The 19,581-nt window shown below is 37.9% G+C and overlaps 3 long non-coding RNA genes across 4 annotated transcripts in view; 2 read left to right on the top strand and 1 right to left on the bottom strand.

Moving 5' to 3' along the window:
• Positions 1-13,939, top strand: part of LINC02889 (long intergenic non-protein coding RNA 2889) — a 95,465-nt gene extending 81,526 nt beyond the window's left edge. Inside the window, exons 3-4 of the long non-coding RNA NR_110013.1 lie at positions 12,158-12,214; positions 13,842-13,939. This is a non-coding gene — a long non-coding RNA (long intergenic non-protein coding RNA 2889). The remainder of the gene's footprint in view (positions 1-12,157; positions 12,215-13,841) is intronic.
• Positions 10,128-19,581, bottom strand: part of LINC02888 (long intergenic non-protein coding RNA 2888) — a 92,340-nt gene continuing 82,886 nt past the window's right edge. For both annotated transcript variants that reach the window (NR_110014.1, NR_110015.1), the window contains one exon: positions 10,128-11,232. This is a non-coding gene — a long non-coding RNA (long intergenic non-protein coding RNA 2888). The remainder of the gene's footprint in view (positions 11,233-19,581) is intronic.
• The window catches only part of LOC105375172 (uncharacterized), a 32,552-nt gene continuing 27,216 nt past the window's right edge, over positions 14,246-19,581 (top strand). Inside the window, exons 1-3 of the long non-coding RNA XR_001745108.1 lie at positions 14,246-14,286; positions 16,831-17,659; positions 19,060-19,171. This is a non-coding gene — a long non-coding RNA (uncharacterized LOC105375172). The remainder of the gene's footprint in view (positions 14,287-16,830; positions 17,660-19,059; positions 19,172-19,581) is intronic.

Genomic DNA, 19,581 nt, shown 5'->3' with positions numbered 1-19,581 from the left:
CATTCCTTCAAAACTATTCATCCATAGTCTTGGAGGCTATAAAGCAATCTAACAAGTGGTACCACCTTTCTAGCTGTTCAACTATTTGAATAAACTCTCAGGTCCTGACAGTGACAGATCTGGGTAGAGAGCAGCATTGTGGCCAAAGGTAACAAATATTTAGATCTGTAAATTTTGGTTATTAGTAAGTTTCTAGGACCACATCAGTGATATAGATATGGAATCTAAGTGTGAGGACTGTGGCATGTCAGCATCTTTTGAATGCTTGGTTATGGAGAAGCAGAAAATCCTTTCCTGAGAATGGCTGAGAATGCTTAATGAATCATAGGACAGCCTGGTATGAAGTCCAAAGGCACAGCCATCCTAGGTCAATGTGAAATAGTTGTGCCATATTGTCTCTCTAGAACCAAGAGATTAATAATAATAAAAAACAAGGAAAAACAGACAAATGTATTTCATTTAATGTAAATATTAAGTCCTAAGGAATGACAAATGTATTCCTATGTTTAAGTGATAGGGATTTCTGCAAAAGGTTTATGAATTGTTAATCAGATATCCCAACCTTTACACCTACATATTTCCCTAAGAAATAAACTCTGGTCTGGATCTACCATGCAATGTTCTTCTACTTTTCTGAATAAGAGTTTAAGCTAACTGAATTCTTTCCTACATAAAAAAAAATACATACAGAATAAATAAAAGTCTTCTCACATTAACTGGCTCAATTTAATTTCTGATGAAATGCCATTCTAAACCTTACTTTGCAGAATGTTAATATTTTTATGGTTAATATAGAAATATTCATTAGTTTTATCTTTAAGGAATCAAAAATTTTTTATTCAGCTGATAAGAATAAAAGTGGAAGTTGAAATACAAAGAGTTATGGCATTTAGTAAAATGTCAAGCTTATTACTAATTAGTCTTCACAGTATTTGTAGCTGATAAATTTTCTAATCTCCAAACTGAATAATAAACTTTCAAGTCCTTGGTTCAGCTACTGGTTCTACCAACTACCTGCTGAATGCTTTACTAAGCCTAGGCACCCAGTCTAGACTTACAAAAAGTTTTCCAAGATCTTTACTTTCACAGAACACACAGTTTCCTGAGGTAGAAAGTATTGGTAAGAATAGAAATATTTGCCCAGTGGTATTGCTATCAGAATTAAGTATAGAATGGTTATGAAAGAGTTTAGTGCATTTTTGTTTTGTTTTGTTTTGAGACAGGGTCTTGCTCTGTTGCCCAGGCTGGAGTGCAGTGGCATGATCTCTGCCCACTGCAACCTCCACTTCCTGGGTTCAAGCAATTCTTATGCCCCAGCCTCCTGAGTAGCTGGGATTACAGGCGCATGCCACCATGCCTGGCTAATTTTTGTATTTTTAGTGGAGATGGGGTTTCACCATGTTGGCCAGGCTGGTCTCAAACTTCTGACCTCAAGTGATCCACCCACCTTGGCCTCCCAAAGTACTGGGATTACAGGCGTGAGCCACCGCGCCTGACCATGAATTTTTAAAAGAGAATATTAATGGTTATTAATAATTTTAAAAGAATTAGGTTAATAATTATTTCAATGTGATTAATCTGTTTCTGAACTACTTATTGTCCACATGGGATTTACTATATTGGATGAGCTAATACTTTCTATATTTAAATTTAGTAAGAACTCATCAAGTACAGCTTCTCACAAAAAATAGTCGTTGCTATTTATCTCTTAAAAAAATAACCATTAGTGGCTGGGCATGGTGGCTCACTCCTGTAATCCCAGCACTTTGGGAGGCCAAGGTGGGCAGATCACGAGGTCAGGAGTTTGAGACCAGCCTGGCCCATATGGAGAAACCCCATCTCTACTAAAAATACAAAAATTAGCTGGGCGTGGTGGCACGTGCGCGTAGTCCCAGCTACTTGGGAGGCTGAGGCAGAAGAATCGCTTCAACCTGGGAAGGAGGAGGTTGCAGTGAGCTGAGATCGCACCACTGCACTCCAGCCTGGGCGACAGAGTGAGACTCGATCTCAAAAAACAAAAACAAACAAAAACATTAGTTACCAGATAAATGTTTTTCTTTTCATTCATCCTCACATCACTTGTATGCACAAAACCTTAAGGAGTCCACGTTTTGGCTGTTAGATTTTTTTTCCACCTGGATTCCAACTAGGAATTCACTTCAGGATAATCAGAAAGTGGAGTTAGCTGCTCAAAGAGCACCAACCGGAAGGAGAGAGCAGAGGGGCTGAGAGCACCGATGAGAGAGGAGGTCGGCCCCCTGCAGGATGTCTCAGGCATTTCTAAGCAGTGAGACAACTTTGGAGCAATACCTAATATTTTAACATTTGAGCCTTGCATCTTGGATTAGGAGGAAATCCAGGAGAAAGCCTCCGCAGGTGATTGGTGTGTGTGCATTGGGGTGAGCGTCAGGCTGGCTCTAGGTCCCTGTTGCTGCTCGCATAAGAGCTGGGCACCTCTGTCTAGGTGTAGGTCAGCCTCGCCCTTCTCTACCTTCTCCTCCGACTGCTGCAGCTGATCCTTCAGATTCACCGACCCCTGGGGCTCTTCTCTCTTCGTGGGGAATGAAGAGAAACTCTATTCACTTCTCATGACCAGCGCGCTCCCAGGAGAAATCCCACAGTAGGACTGGACCCTTAACTGCAGTCCTTTCCCTGTCAGGGTAGGCAAGAATGTTGGATGGGGAAGGTTAGAAGGACTGTTACGGGGTGTGGGTGGGGCTCCCACTGTGCCTGGACCCACTGTTCGCTCCAATTTACAAGTCTACTCCGAAAGTCTTCATCTTCTGCATCTTTATGGCCAGATATTTTTGTTTCATGTTGATTTTTGTTTGTTGTTTCCTTGAGGCTCTCTGTTGTCTGTTTGCATCCTGTCTGCTAGACAGGCCCACAGATGTCAGACCTGTTAATAATGACCTCCTAATCCAATTCATTTACTGTGTTACCAATAACAGATTTAGAAACATTTTTGTATATAACAAGGACCCATATTCAGAATGTGAACATTGAATCCCAATTTATCCCCAACTGTGACTGAAGCTGCACCAAACACACAAAGACAAATTGTGAACTTGGATGACACAAGGAAGGGACTCCAGGCTAGACTGGAACCAAGGCCCTGGTTATAGTCATCCCAGATTCTTTAGAGCAAATTCTAAACTATATCCCACAAACCCATTGTAAGTTGTATTTTCTTATCTACACCTAAATAATTGTTTAAATCAAATAGGCAGTAAACTTTGTGTAACCTGCTTTGCCATTATCAATCCTTTAGTGTCTTCACAAAGTTGAATTAAACGACCCATCTAGGTGTAGTTTTTTTCAGCAAAGAATCTCTTGCTCAGACTGAGCAAAATCACACCAGTGTTGCTTTAAGATGGCTTCCTTTGCCTGGTTGGCTTTATCTGATACCAGAATAGGATGAAGATACAAGTATTGTTGAAAATAACATGATGTGTTAAAATTTACAGATGGTATAATGTGTACCAATTAGCATTAAGAGGTCATTAATGGACATTAGAATGTTGTAAGAGAACGTGCCAAACTTTGCAAGTTGACATCATTGGGAGAAAAAAGCATTTGGGGCCATCATCAGAACGAAGCTCTTTTTAGCCTGCAGGACAATTCTAATGACTTAAAGAAACATGATAAGAGATTGGGGGCTCTCTGCTAGAGGTTTAATACCTCATTAGATCTGTTTTCACATTCCTATTTTATTTTCCTAGGATTCTGTAATCTTATATATTTTGTTGTACTTTAATTTTTAATACTGCTATTAGTAGCCACAAACATAAGATAAAACAAAAAATATTTTCTTCCTCTCTGGGTGACTTATACTTGAGATTACCCTGACACATGCAAAAGGGAAAGATAGAGGTAAGGATTGCTAAAGGACATAGTTAATTAAAACCGATAAAAATATAGGACCAATGAACGTGAGTCAAATCGGATGTCCTGAAGATAAATATAACTTCGAGCATGCGTTAGACAATGTACATGCTTGCACAACTTCACTGTCCCTGATGCCCAGCAATTCCAGGCTGGATCCCCAACTCCAGGATGACTTTACACGATACAGAATATAAATATCTCCTTGCTGTGTTTTGTAACAATAGTAAAAGGCTTTTGCATTTGTGACTTCTAAGTATATCTAAGAATCAATGTAGGAGGCTTTGTGTGCTGGATATTAGCTGTATCATCTTTGATGCAACATTTAAATTTCAACTACTTCCATTTCCTCTTAAGGTGAAAAAATTGTGCTGGATAGGCTCTAATGTTCATCCAAGCGCTACCATGATTCATATCAGAAGAAAGAAGTACACTTCTTTCTTTCCTAATAAAATTAATAGCACTTATATAATTTTAGTGTTTGCTAATGGATTAACACTAATACAAGTCTGCATAGAATATAAACAATTCAATGGAAATGCCAAACCATTTAAAGATTTAAATATTCTATGGTCTATTGCACTGTATTATAAAGGCAATTATACTTTCACTTTTTTTCTGGGCCATTGAATTCAACCTGTGAGTATATTTTTGGTTAGAAAATTTGTTTTAAAATGAGGCTGGCAGGAGTTCAAGACCAGCCTAGCCAGCATGGTAAAACCCCATCTCTACTAAAAGTACAAAAATTAGCCTGGCGTGGTGGCACACAGCTGTGGTCCCAGCTACTCAGGTGGCAAGGCACAAGAATCACTTGAACCTGGGAGGCAAAGGTTGCAGTGTCTCAGGATCACGCTACTGTACTCCAGCCTGGGTGACAGTGCAAGTCTTAAAAACAAAAACAAAACAACAACCAAAAAAACCCAACGACAACAGAAAAAACCATGACTGGGCACAGTGGTTCACACTTGTAATCCTGGCACTTCAGAAGCTGAAGCAGGAGGATTGCTTGAGCTCAGGAGTTTGAGACCTGCCTGAGCAACAGAGTGAGACCTAATTTCTACTGAAAATAAAAAATTAGCTGGATGTGGTGGCACCTGTAGTCCCAGCTACTGGGGAGGCTGAGGCAGGAGGAGATCGAGCCCAGGTGATTGAGGCTGCAGTGAGCTATGATAGCACCACTGCACTCCAGCTGGGGCAACAGAGTGAGACCCTGTCTCCAGATAAATAGACACCTTTTTTCTTTACTTACTGGATTTCTGTGCCTTTGAGTCATGTAATATATGATTACTCAAGTGACAAAGGGCATGGTAAGGTAGATTTCTATCATAAAAATATACCCAGTTAAATTCTAGTTGACACATTATTAAAGATTCAGAAAATATATAATTCTTAAAATGAAACTTATGTTGAGATAAATGTAGATTCCCATGCACTTATAAGAAATAATACAGAAAAATCCTGTGTACCCTTAACTAGTTTTCTTCAGTGGTAATATCTTGCAAAACTACTAAGTACAATATCACAACCAGGATAATGACATTCAAAAACACAAGATACAGAACACTTCCATCATCACAATGATGCCTCTGTTGCCCTGTTACAGCCATACACATTTCCTCCCATCACTACATCCTTCCACACCTTCCTTAATGCCTAGTGACCAGTATTCTCTATTTCTGTGATTGTGTCATTTCAAGAATGTTATATAAATGACATACAGTGTGTAATCTTTGGGGATTTTTCTTCCTTCACTCAGTATAGTTCTCTGGAGATTTTCTCAGGTTGTTTTATTTAGCAATTGTTTGTTTTTTATTGACAAGTAGTATTCCAAGGTATAGATGTACCATGGTTTATTCACCCATTAAGAAACACATGGTTTTTTTTCTGTATGTGGCTATTATGAATGAAACTGCTATAAACATTCATGTACATGTTTCTTTGTGAATATTTTAATTTTTCTGGGACAAATGCCCAGGAGTGCAGTTGTATGGTGTTTGCATGCTTAGCTTTTTAAGAAACTGCAAAACAGTTTTCCACAGTGTCCAGGCTATTTTATCTTACCACCAGAAACATATGAGTGATCCAATTTTTCCACATTCTCACCAGCATTTGGTGTAGTCAACTATTTTTTATTTTAGCCATTCTGAGAGCTTTGTAATTATACTGTGGTATTAATTTGGATTTCCCTAACGGTTAATGATGTTGAGCATCTTTCCAGATGCTTATTTGTCATCTGTACACCATCTGCAGCAAAATTATTCTTCATGATTTTTGCCCATTTTCTAATTGGATTTTTAATTTTTTGACTATTGAGTTTTTAAGACTTCTTTATGCACTCATTTATCAGATATGTAATTTGAAAATATTTTATCTCAGGCTATAGCTTATCTTTTCATTGTCCTAACAGAGAAACAGGATCTCTTACAGAGCAAAAGATTTTTAATTTTGATGAAGCACAATTTATCAATTTTCCTGATTTGGACCATGCTTTTGGTATCAAATCTAAAAGTTGTCTAGCCCTAGATGCAAAGATTTTCTGTGCTTTTTCCCTGCAAGTTTCATAGTTTTATGTTTTAATTTAGGATCTTTTCATTCTCCCTGCCTTTTCTTTTTCTTGACTTATTGTACAGACTAGCACTTCTATCCCCATTTTGAATAAGAGTGGCAAGAGTCACCTCCTTGTACTCTTCCTGATCTTTGGAGGAAAGCATTCAGCTTTCTACCATTAAGCATAATGTTAGCTGTAGGTTTTTAGTAAATGTTTTTTATCAATTTTGGGAAGTTCTCTTCTGTTCCTGTTTTTTTAAGAGTTTTTATTATGAAGGGGTATAAAATTTTTGTTGAATACTTTCTCTGCATTGATTAATCATATGATTTATTTTCTTTAGCCTGTTAATATGGTTGATTACATTCATTGATTTTCAAATATTGAACCAGCCTTGCATCCCTAGAATAAGCCTCACTTGGTCACGGAGTCATGGAGTATAATTCTCTTTATATATTGTAAATTCTATATGCTAATATTTTGCTAATAATTTCTGTATGCATATTCATAAAGGATATTGGCCTAAACCTTTCATTTTTTGTACATTTTTGCCTGTTTTTGGTATTATAGGGTGTCTTTGTATGTTCTGACTGCTGAAACAAAATGTCTTTGATGGGGTAACTTAGAAACAACAGAAATTTATTTCTCACTGTTCTGGAGGCTGGAAAGACCAAGATAAGGTGCTAGTGGTGTCTGCTTGAGGGCCCACCCCTTATGGATGGGGCCTTTTAACTGTGTACTCACATGGTGAAAAGGGCAAACATGCTCTATCAGGCTGTTTTTCTAAGGGCACTGATTTTATTATTGAGGGCAGAACCATGGGCTTCCTCCAGGAACACAAGGCTGGTTCAATATTTGAAAATCAGCTAAGATAGCTGGCCATATTAATAGGCTAAAAGAGAAAAATCATATAACTATACTAATCAATGCAGAAAAAGCATTTGACAAAATTTTATACCCATTCATGATTAAAACTTTAAGAAAAATAGGAATGGAAAGGAACTTTCTAAAATTGATAAAGAGCATGTACTAAAAATCTAAACTTAATATTATACTTAGTGGTAAAAAGCTAATGCTTTCCATCTAAGATCAGGAACAACAGAGCACTAGAAGTCCTTGTCTCCTAATAGTATCACCTTGGGCATCAGAATGTCAGGATATGAATTTGAAGGGGGAGCATAAACCTTCATATTATAGCATAGTATTAAAAAAATGAATTGGGCTATTCATTTATTTGATCTTGGGTAAGGAAATTTCAGTCATGTGATATGTGCTTTATGGTGGGTAAGCACAGGTACTATGAGAATCCATAGATGGGGCCTGATTCAATCTGGGCAAGAAGGTAGGCAGGGGTAGGGAAGGCCTGCTAGAGAAGATGATTAGGTTGGTGCAAAAGTAATTGCAGTTTGGCAAAAACCTAATAGAGGAGAGTAAACCAGGCTAACTAGGTAGGTGGGGAAGAGATCAGGATGTGTAAGAGAAAACAGTGTAGAGGGGATAGTGGTAGAGTTCATTAGGGGGCCTGCCTTTTTTGTTGTGTCTAGAGCCGAATGTGTGTCTGTTGGGTATTGGACAAAAGAGGATCTTGAAGGGAGACAGAATAAGAGGTAAGACTAAGGTGTGAATAAAGACTTAATCCTGGACAGTCTGGTAGGACCTGCTAAGGAGTTTGAACCAGTAAGTACAATGGTGGGGAGTCATGGCAGAGTGTCAAGTCCAGAAAAGACAAATGATTGTTGACTTCAATGTATACAATGGAACTTTTGCCTGTGAGTACTCGCTGTAATAAGGTATGTAAAATGTAAAGTAAAATATATTCAACCAAGACTAGATTTTCTTTAGATTGCATTTCCTTAGATCTCTATTTAGACTAGAGAGAGATTGTTCCTAACATAAGTAACAAACCAATTTTTTTAAAGAACCAAAACAATTTGGGTTGCCCACTTAAAAACTGAAGTCCAACTCTCATTCTTTTCCCACTGCCTAGGAAAATATAAACCATTGGATGGACATGTTTTCATTGAAACATTTAAGCACTTTTTTGTTTTCTTCCTTTTGACCAGTCATAATTTAGGTTTTTGTAAATTACTAGTCAATTTGTCTCCCTTTAAATATTTTAACATACATTTAGTGAATAATTGTGAACAAGGGCTCATCACTTCTGAGACACCTGAAATGTCTCATAGTCTCATCCCACAAGTATCATATGATTGGAGAAAAAAGACATATGTGTAGGAAAAAATTCATAATAATACAGGATGATGTGTGATATCAAATAAGTGGGACTGACAATAAGGGTGATTAAAATTTAGGGAAGGCAGAGAACACTTTGAACATGATGCAAGGGGAACTGGCTTCTTTATCTTTTCCTTCATAGCTTTATTGAGGACCTGTCCTTGGCATTGAGCTAGATAATATCCCTGTTCTCATGGGGCTTACTTTCTTTGAGGGAGATAGACATGGTAAAAATAAGACCGTTTCATTACGAATATGAAACAGGGCAAGGTAGACTAAGTGAAGTGGGTACTATTTAATCAGGGAGGCCTCTCTGAGGAGGAGACATATATACTGAAACAATGCCAAGAAGGAGCCAGCCATGATTTAAGGTGAAAATTCTAAGCAAAGGTACTAACCAATCCAAGGAATAAGCTTGGGGTGTTTGAAGTTCAGAAAGAAGGCCAGTGTGGCTGAAGGGACTGCAAAGAACAAGAAGAGATGGTAGAAAATAAGATCAAAAGTGTCTAGATCACAAACGTCATGGAAAGCCATTTCAGGATTTTAAGTAGAGGAGTAAAATAAAATGTTTATTAAAAAGACAATCTCGGCCATGCGGGGTGGCTCAAGCCTGTAATCCCAGCACTTTGGGAGGCTGAGGCAGGTGGATCACCTGAGGTCAGGAGTTCAAGACCAGACTGGCCAACATGGAGAAACCCCATCTCTACTAAAAATACAAAAATTAGCCTGGTGTGGTGGCACCCGGCTGAGGCACAAGAATCCCTTAAATCTGGGAGGTGGAGGGTGCAGTAAGCCGAGATTGCGCCACTGCACTCCAGCCTAGAAGACAAAGACTCTCAAAAAAAAAAAAAAAAAAAAAGGCTGGTGACTGGACAAAGAAGGAAAAAATCAGATTCAGATGTGTCAAGTGCTACTGGGTGTACCAAAGGTTTAAAGAAGTGACCATTGGACTTGACAACGTAGAAATCCTGTGACCCTGACTGGAGCCACTTCGGTGGAATAGCAGCAAGTGAAGTCCCAACAGGAGTTGATAGAGGAGGAAGTACAAGCCATGAAACACATTTTTTGTGAAAGTGATTAAGTGCCTTTAAAAATATTCTGCTAAAACATCGCCTTCTGCTGAAATACTTTGCGTACTCCTAAAATGTGTTTTTGAACAATGTTTTTTAAGTTGGAAGGAAATTTAGAGATGATCTAGCCCAACCCTTTCATTTTACAGATGGCCAGAATAAGGTCTGGGGAATTCCACTAGTTTGCAGAGCCAGATGCCTAACTTACAGTTTGCAGTTTTTGTTTTTTAATTCTACACTGCTACTAATGGTAACTAACATTTAATTGAGTGCTTACTAGGTGCCATATACTATGTCTAAAGCTTTACATATATTAATGTAATTCTCATGATAATCTTATAGAGTTCTAGTAAAATCTCTATTTACAGCTAAGAAAATGAAGGCACAGAATGTTGAAGTATCTTGTTTAATGTCATATATCTGACAAGTTCTGTGGAGCCAGAATTCAAAACCCAGATACGCAGGAGGACACATTCTTGATCGGTATTTTATTCTATTATTTTTATTAGTTCCAATCCTTATGACTCTGTTTAAAATGAGTATCTGCATTATTGTGCAAACACTTCTGAGATCTCATCACATACCTGATCCCATTTAACTTCAGTCTATCCCTCCATTACTTTTTGTGGAAAGTGCTATCTAAGTTGGAGGTTCTGCTTGAGTATTCTTAATTTTTCTTCTTTTTAATGCATACGGTGGTCAAAGTAAATAGCTAACATATTGGCATCAAACCATTGCCTATTGAAGCAAGCTTTGAATGAAATTGGTTTGTCATTGACCACTGTAAGAAACTCATTTGTAAAGATAATACTGAAAAACATCCTGACTCTTATGTATGCTTGCCTGTCTCTGAACTCCACCTCTATCAGCATACTCAATACATTGCCTCTTTCCAACATTTATCTCCTATTTCAGGAGAAAGTTTTGTGGGAGCGTCTACCACGTTGCAAAGATTCAACATTTCTCTTAAAAATAGGAGTTTCTTTTAGATATAAGCAATGAAATTTCAAGCAACAATATTACTTCTCTCATGTCCTTTGCTTTTTTAAGATCTGAACCTCAAGATTCAAATGGATTTTCATTGAAATTCACCACGATCCCCTCTGCAGCTGTGGTCTGAAAGTACCATTTCTGCATTTATTTTAGCCCATGGAATAACTGTGCTGAGAAACCACAGAGTCAATCAGATTCAAAATGTTAAAATCCTTCCTGCTTGGAGTTTTCCGTCTTCACATCAAAGCATTTCATGCCCGTCAGCAACTTTTTAATGCATTTGCTCCTCGTTTGCACAATTTCCATTTAAAGACTTTCCTTGGCTGACTTCTCTGATGAGGTTTCCTGCTTGCCAGGAGAGCACGCTAATGCAGAAATTACAAAGGGGGCTTCACGTCCCTTTTCCGGAGGACCTGATATTTCAGATAATTTCCAGCTTCAGTTTTGGAGAAACGACTGTTCTTTGCACCAGGGGAAAATAAACTGATTTTCAGTGTAAGCAACCTGTGAAGACAGAGACAAATATAAGTAAATGAGAATGTCATTTAGGAAGAGAATTGAAGACACAATAGAAGCATTTACTAGACTCCATACAATAATGTCATGTCTTTGTTCTAACTTAAGCTTGCATGTATACAATGGGGTTCAAGAAACTTGGCAAGAGTTTTTTTTTTTTTTCTTAAACTGAGTTAAACAGTCTTGATTGCCTTCTTTTAATTAAAAGAAAAATAATACATATAACAATAGATTTGAAAAGGAAGAGCCCAAATCACTAAGGGCAGTAATCTTCTGGAAAATGTGAATATTCATGAGTTATAGGAAAGTGATGAGAGCCAACACATCACTTTTTTTTTTTGCTCCGAGTAATCAATTCTTTGCCTACAGCCAAACCAGGCCTTTTAACAAAATTATTATTACTTAAGTAAAAAGATAAATTATTAGTTAGCATTCATAAGTCAAAAATAATAAACCCAGAGTTTATATTTTATTGATATACCTTTCACATCATGTAAAACTATATTTGAAAACAACTTGTTTCATCAAATCATGATATTTCTGTACTAAACAACAGAGTTGAATGAAGTTTGGCTTAAATATCCTTATTTTATTTCTGTATTTGTCCTAAATCAATTCACCATGGTTCAATATTTAGTTGATAATAAGTGAACTGGCTAATATATTTATTTGATAAATAAATAATTATTTAATAAATACATTTATTTATTGAATTTTCATCCTATACTATGTAATATTCATAACTATATAAAATATACAAATACGGAGTTCCCATTCTATGACTGCTAAATTAAGCACATCTAGATCAGCCTTTTGTCCATTTTTCATGTTTCCTTCCTTCTCTTAGGAAGAGTTGTGATTTCTGAAATGGTGGGAAAATTTTAATACCTACATTTCACCTCTACTTTTTCAGGGAGAGGTTCGTGAAGAAGTGATTGGGAAAGAGAGCAAGTCTTGGTTGGACAGTGTGGTAAGTCAGCAAGGGTGAAAAGAGAGGGGGTCCCTGTCAACTATATATATAGTTCTTCCAGGGAAAGAAACATAGCCTCAAATTTGCTTTTCATCCTGTTCTGACATTGCAAGGAAAAAATAGTGAAACTCCTTGGACCACTTTTATAACTTGCAGTGTTCTCAATAACTTGCAGTGTTCTCATTGAGCTACATTTTTTTATTTGCTTGCTTCAAGGACTTAGAAGTCTGTAAAGTGCAAATCTACAAATAAAAGCTTAAAATCATAGAGTTAATCACAACAATAGGTGAGAAAGATATAGCACGCAGAATGCCAAACTATTAGCTGATTAACTGAAAATCTGTATGTATTTTTCAGCGGTTAGTGGAGAGATCAATAGAACACATTTAATTAGCCATGTGGTTTGTTTTACTGGTACTGGAGCTACATGTCTCTCCCACTCTGCCAGGCTTTTAGGACTTCACAAGCTTAATATATACATACACACATACATATTTTGTAAGTTTTATTTTATACACACACACACACACACACACACACACACACACACACATGCTTATGTATTTTGATTATCCAAAATGAGACTTAATATCCAAATCACGTTTAGTTACGTTGCTAAAAAAGTAAGAAAAACTAGCAGTCTAATTTCCATTCTTTAACGAGCAGGAAGATTGGGAACTTTTGGTTTCAAGTGCATAAAATGCACTGTTTTAATTCCTTCATATATTATGAAAGAATGTTTATATTTTATAAAAGATTAAAGCATGTTATGCATCTTAGAAAAAAGTGTCAAGAAAATATAGTTTTCATGACTTAGTACTTTACTGGATTTTTTTTTAAACTATCCATTTACTTTGGGAGAAATTTTATGTTAACAACTATTTTCTAGTCATAGCACAGATCTAGTAAGGTTAAAATATAATTTTAATTAACATAAGTAGGGTTCATAAATTTTCACTCAGGAAAAACAAGCTACTTGGGAAACAGATAACATTCTTAGATCTGAACACTTACCACATAAAATCCACATTGAAAAATAGCTAATATATATATTTTATTAAAGATGAAGTTATAATATATAAATGTAAAAAACAGCATGGCAGTAGAGCTGATGATTTTAAGAATGGTGGCAAGCTCAAGCTCAGTAGTCAAGTTCTAATACAGTTGATATTTAAAGTTCTAAGATCTGTGATATGTATATCTATATATAGAGATATCCTTTTCCTCTGCCAAACAGGAAGCTATAACCACAAGCTGTTGAATGCAAGTTACCTATTGAAAACTTACTACAACAGCGGTTCCCAACATTTTTGGCACCAGGGACCGGTTTCATGGCAGATAATTTTTCCAAGGACCAGGGTGGATGGGGGATGGCATTAGATTCTCATAAGGAGTGCGCAACCTAGATAACTTGAATGCAGAGATCACAATAGGGTTCATGCTTTTATGAGAATCTAATGCTGCCACTGATCTGACAATAGGCGGAGCTTGGGCAGTAATGCTGGCTTGCCTGCCACTTACCTTCTGCTATGTGACCCTGCTCCTAACAGGCCACGGACAGGTACTGGTCTAGGGCTTGAGAACCCCTGCCTTGTAATAAATAATTTATTTTTCTATTCTCCAAAAGATTCAATAGAAATGTGAGGAGGAAAACTGCAATTATTTCTGAACCTTCCCATCAGCCTTGTCTCTGATAGAATTGGCCTGTTGTGGACGGGCTTTGTGTAGATTAGAGAAAGAAGAAGATGCTCTTTTGGTGTAATTGTTCAGGTGAGTCCTTCATGTCAATTATTTCATTCTTGTTCTTGTTACGTTATTTGTATTAGTCTGTTTTCATGCTGCTGATAAAGACATACCTGAGACTGGGCAATTTACAAAAGAAAGAGATTTCTTGGACTTACAGTTCCACATGGCCGGGGAGGCCTCACGATCATGGCAGAAGGCAAGGAGGAGCAAGTCACATCTTATGTGGATGGCAGCAGGCAAAGAGAGAGCGAGCTTGTGCAAGGAGACTCCCATTTTTAAAACCATCAGATCTCGTGAGACTTATTCACTATCAGGAGAACAGCAAGGTAAAGACCCGCCCCCATGATTCAATTATCTCCCACTGGGTCACTCCCATAACACGTGGGAATTATGGGAGATACAAGATGAGATTTGGATGAGGACACACAGCAAAACGATATCATTATCCTTTTTATGGATAAGTTACTAATCATAATATATAGTCATTTTTTCTGGAGGTTACTGTGAAATGACCTTCCCTCAGGCAAGAAAACCTAAATATCACAACCCTCAGATTTCATGAGTCCCTTTTATGTAGGAAAATAACTGATACTTTCCCTATCAAATCAATAATGTTCAGCCAAGGCATTTATTTTTTATTTTTATTTTTCAGGATGAAGGTAAAATCTTACAATTCAAAGTAACAATGTGGTTCATTTGACGAAATAATTACTGTGGACTTTAGGACCATTTATTCAAATTGCTGTCTTTGATTAACTCAAGAACTCTTGGTGCCTTTTTTCTTCTAACTTTCTTCAACAACTGTAATTAATCACAGAATTTGTCATCAATCTTTCCACCAAGGCCATGAATACTCTTTGAATGAATGACGATTCTTTCTTTGTGTTAAGTTTCTGTGCCCCAAGGCTATTAAAATTTCATAGTTTCTCCACATTCTTCAAAGCTTTCAACTTTTGTCTAAAAACAACATGACAGAACAAGATCTATTATCTGGGTTTATGAATTAATCTGCATTCAAATGCCTGGTGATTATAGCACTTAAACCTGTTTATCAAAGCACAGGGCTTTTGAAGAAAGTATTTCTGAAAGTTGTGCCTATAAAAATGGTAGAAAAGACTCCAAGACTCCGGTATGATCAAAGCATTTGGATCAGGCAGCCATTCAACCACGTGGACTATTGGGACAAGGATTAGGCCCCCACAGAGAAGCTAAGTTTATAAAATGATTCAGAGGAGCCAAAAGATCAGAAAATAGTAGGATTAGTTGTCTGTTTTATTGTTCTGGGATTCTGTTTCTACATTATGAAAGATCAAAGGGGTTTTCCACCTCTTCCCATGTTGATGTCTAGAACCTCCTTTCCAACTAGTGTGGTAAGGCTTATCAGTATATGATGAAGATTTGGGATTTTGCATCTGGCTTTTAAACTTCTTTGTGTAAACTGGACCTTTATCCCTTCACTTCATCCTCTTGATATGGAACATCCCCTCCGATCTTAATCTCTCCGTCTTTGCATGGCAACAAATCAGAATTGTTGCTCTTCTTTTCCCCTAATTCTCTGACATTTCATAATTCCTTTCTTCTGTGCTCTACCTACTGCCCTGCTCCCATAGTTCTAAATGACCTGTAGAAGGCCTACATCACCCATGCCTATCCTAGTATAGGATCAGTTGGCAGAGGGACTCCCTGCTTTCTCAAAGACTTCTCAACATAGAGAAATGCACAATAGAAGAGAAGGGGAAATATGGTTAAACAAAGTAAGGATTTAGTTTTTGGAGAACGTTCAAAAGAAAGTTGTGAAACCTATGGGAAAGGTTTAGAGGAAATAGTCTCACTAAGAGCTAATGGGGGCTAAAGATTGTTGTAGAGTACATGTCAAATTACAATGCCTGGAAGCAAAGCAACAGTCTGGTCCCCAAAATAATATGAGGAAAAATACATGGTCAAATTGTTATAAATTCCATGTTTTCATGGTAAAAATGTTGTAGTCAATAGGAAAACAATAGGTAAAACTAGATTCAAACTTCATACACGGAGAGAAAGAGAAACTCAAGCAGAATAAATCCTCCACAAGGATTGTTGTCCATTGCATTTTGACATCATTAACTTGGGCAATTACCTCAGTGCCCAATTAATATGATGTTGGAATGGATTTCTAAGCCCACATTGCTCACCTAACCCTGTAGACTCTTCTCATTATTTTTGTTGTTCATTCTGTTATGTGCCAGGCAGTGGTCTAAAATTAACTGAATATCTTACTATACCCAGGCCCCATCTTAGATGTTTTATATTTGTTAATAGAGTTAATCTTTACAACTAATACAGGAGTTATTAAGAAATAATTTTTAGGCAGCTAGAAAGGGTAAAGGTTCTCAGTGGTAATTTTCCTGTAAGAAGAAGCAACCCCCAAACCATTTCGTTTCAAACAGAAAGGCAGCTTGAAGGCCCAGACCAGTAAGCTTTGATATGCAAATGCAGGCCATTAGAAACTGGGTCTACCCAATATGGCAATTCCCACCTTCCTCTTATCACAAGGTGTGCCCAGTGTCATGGCCACCTCCAGATAACTCAACATGTTCAGGACGTCATGGCAGCCCACATTTACATATTAAAAGACTAAGGTGGGAGGACCAGGTTTTTCTGTGGGCTACGTGAATGATGCAGCTGGTCAAACCAATCCCCTGGGCCCTATGCAAATCAGACACTGCCTCCTCCAGCCTCCAATATAACTGACCATTTTTCTGCGGCACACAGGATTTCTCTCTTGGAGCCTCCCTCCCTCTGTCTCTGTATGGGGGAGCTGCTGCTTTCTCGCTTGCTTGTTAAACTTTCTGCTCCTTAAAACTACTCCATGTGTGTCTGTGTTGTTTTAGCTAAATCAGTGTGAGACCAAGGACCCTGGGGCTCCTCCAGTCATTGCAGCTGTATCACAACTACCCTGACAGGTGAGTTGTACTACCCTCATTTTACAGAAGATGAAACTAAGGTTCAGGATGGTTAACCAACAAAGGTCACATGCTAATAAATATTAAAGCTTAGACTTCAGGCCTGACTTCATTGATTGGGCATTTTATCAACTGTATATATTTAGAGTTCTAAGTCCATTGTTGAAAACTTGAGATTAATTCCAGAAAGATTTGGAGATACATGACATGAAAGGAAGGAGGTCATAGTTTTTAGGTCAAATGATGTAACAAAGTCAACATGTCACACAATTTTCATTCACCTCATGCTGACCTTTTTAAATGAAATGACATGGGTAATCAGGGTCACCCTTCCTGGAACTAGGTAGAAAGAAGTGATGTTTCCTTTAGCTATTTAAGGATCAGCCTCCTACATTCATGGGGAGCTTATTATACAGGGCAATGTGACAGGCAATGGGGATATAAAATAAATGATTTCATACCAGAAGGTGTTTTGAGTCTTAAGGAAGGAGTAAATATGCAAATGAGTAAATTCCATCAAGTTTAAGGCACCATTAACTTATCTCTTACTTTCCTTTCCAAGGGAAAAAAGATGTCAAACTATATCATGCCTTCAGTTGTAGGATTTGAATATTCCTTTTAGAATCAATTACGTAGAGTATATGCCATGCCAGATGTCAATGCATTTATAGTGATGATGTTACAGCTGGGATGAAGACGGGCCCAGAAGAGAGTCAGAAAAATCTTTCTAGGCCAAGTGACCTTTGAATGTGGAAAGGTAAGGAGGAAGTGGTGTGAAGAAGAGATGTGCAGGCTATTCCATGCAGAATAAACAGAATGGGTAAAAAAGTATGCCTTTCTAGCTGGGACCCAGCCTGGTGTGTCCTGGGGTAAGGAAATGGGGAAGCTGTGTTGTGGGAAGTCAGGGACCCCAAAAGGAGGGACCGGCTGGAGCCACAGCAGAGGTACCTAAATTGTGAAGATTTCATGGACATTTATCAGTTTCCAAATAATACTCTTATAATTTCTGATGCCTGTCTTACTTTAATCTCTTAATCCTGTTATCTTCATAAGCTGAGGATGTAGGTCACCTCAGGACCACTATGGTATTTGTGTTAACTGTACAAATTGATTGTAAAACATGTGTGTTTGAACAATATGAAATCGGTGCACCTTGAAAAAGAACAAAATAACAGCAATTTTAAGGGAACAAGGGAAGACAACCGTAGGGTCTGACTGCTTGCAGGGTTGGGCAAAATAGTCATATTTTTCATCTTGCAGAGAGCCTATAAATGGACATGCAAGTAGGGAAGATATTGCTAAATTCTTTTCCTAGCAAGGAATATTAATAATTAATACCCTGGGGAAGGAATGCATTCCTGGGGGGAAGGTCTATAAATGGTGGCTCTGGGAGTGTCTGTCTTATGCAGTTGGGATAAGGATTGAAATATGCCCTGGTCTCCTGCAGTACCCTCAGGCTTATTAGGGTGGGGAAAAACCCCCACCCTGATTTGAGGTCAGACCAGTTTTCTGCTCTCAAACCCTGTTTTCTGTTGTTTAAGATGTTTATCAAGACAATACGTGCACTGCTGAACCTAGACCCTTATCAGTAATTCTGCTTTTGCCCTTTGCCTTGTGATCTTTGTTGAACTCTTATCAGTTTCTGGTTTTGCCCTTGTCCTGTTTCCTCAGAAGCATGGGATCTTTGTTCTCCTTTTTGCCCTTTGAAGCATGTGATCTTTGTGACCTACTCCCTGTTCTTACACCCCCTCCCCTTTTGAAATCCTTAATAAAAACTTGCTGGTTTTACAGCTCAGGTGGGCTTCACAGTCCTACCCATATGTGATGCCACCCCCAGAGGCCCAGCTGTAAAATTCCTCTCTTTGTACTCTTTCACTTTATTTCTCAGCCGGCCGACACTTATGGAAAACAGAAAGAAACTACGTTGAAATATTGGGGGTGGGTTCCCCCGATTAGGCTGGGGCATCACTGGGGGCCTGGAGGCAGGATGCTGGTTAGGAATGAGGCTCCAAAGGTTCAGGCCAGACTGAAGGTCTTAATGCTAGGGAGTATGCATTAACTTATTGCAGACAATGGGAAGCCACTGGAGAAACTCAGCAGGAAGCTGAGTCTATCTAACATCTTTTTCTTCCTTGTTTTTGGGTATGCTCCTATCAGAGGCTTTACAAATAGCTACTTTTATATCAAACTACATGCAACTAGTTTTCTGTGCTGGACTTCCATAGTTGTGAAGCCATGATTACCAGAATTTCTGATTCAAAGATTCTTGGTGAGTTTCGCTCCTTGGAGTCTTTTATCTCCTTTCTCTTGATTTCTCTTTGCCCTGATCTTTACTCTGAAATTCTACTCATTTGAAATGCCACTTCTCCTAGGTATTGTGTCTTGTTCTTCCCCAAGTGTACAGCAGCTTACCATCATTATATGAACCCCCTTATACTTTTTTGAGCTCTTACTGAACTTCTCTTGATTTATATATTTTGGTATATTTGGTCTTTTAGATTGAGCTCTTGGGATCTTAATGTCTTATCAATCCTATGTCAGTATCTGTTTTGAGCTCAGTCTAATAAAGATGACATAATAGGTATATTGAATTGTGTACCTATACACATGGAAAAAACATCCCCTTTCCATATGCCCTGTTCTGCCTCTGAGAAGCAACAGAGGGAATAAATTGCCCCT

The sequence above is a fragment of the Homo sapiens genome, chromosome 7 (assembly GCF_000001405.40).
Source record: "Homo sapiens chromosome 7, GRCh38.p14 Primary Assembly".
Lineage (NCBI taxonomy): Eukaryota > Metazoa > Chordata > Mammalia > Primates > Hominidae > Homo > Homo sapiens.
Note: the sequence above shows the minus strand (reverse complement) of the source record. Positions and strands in the feature narration are given on the sequence as shown.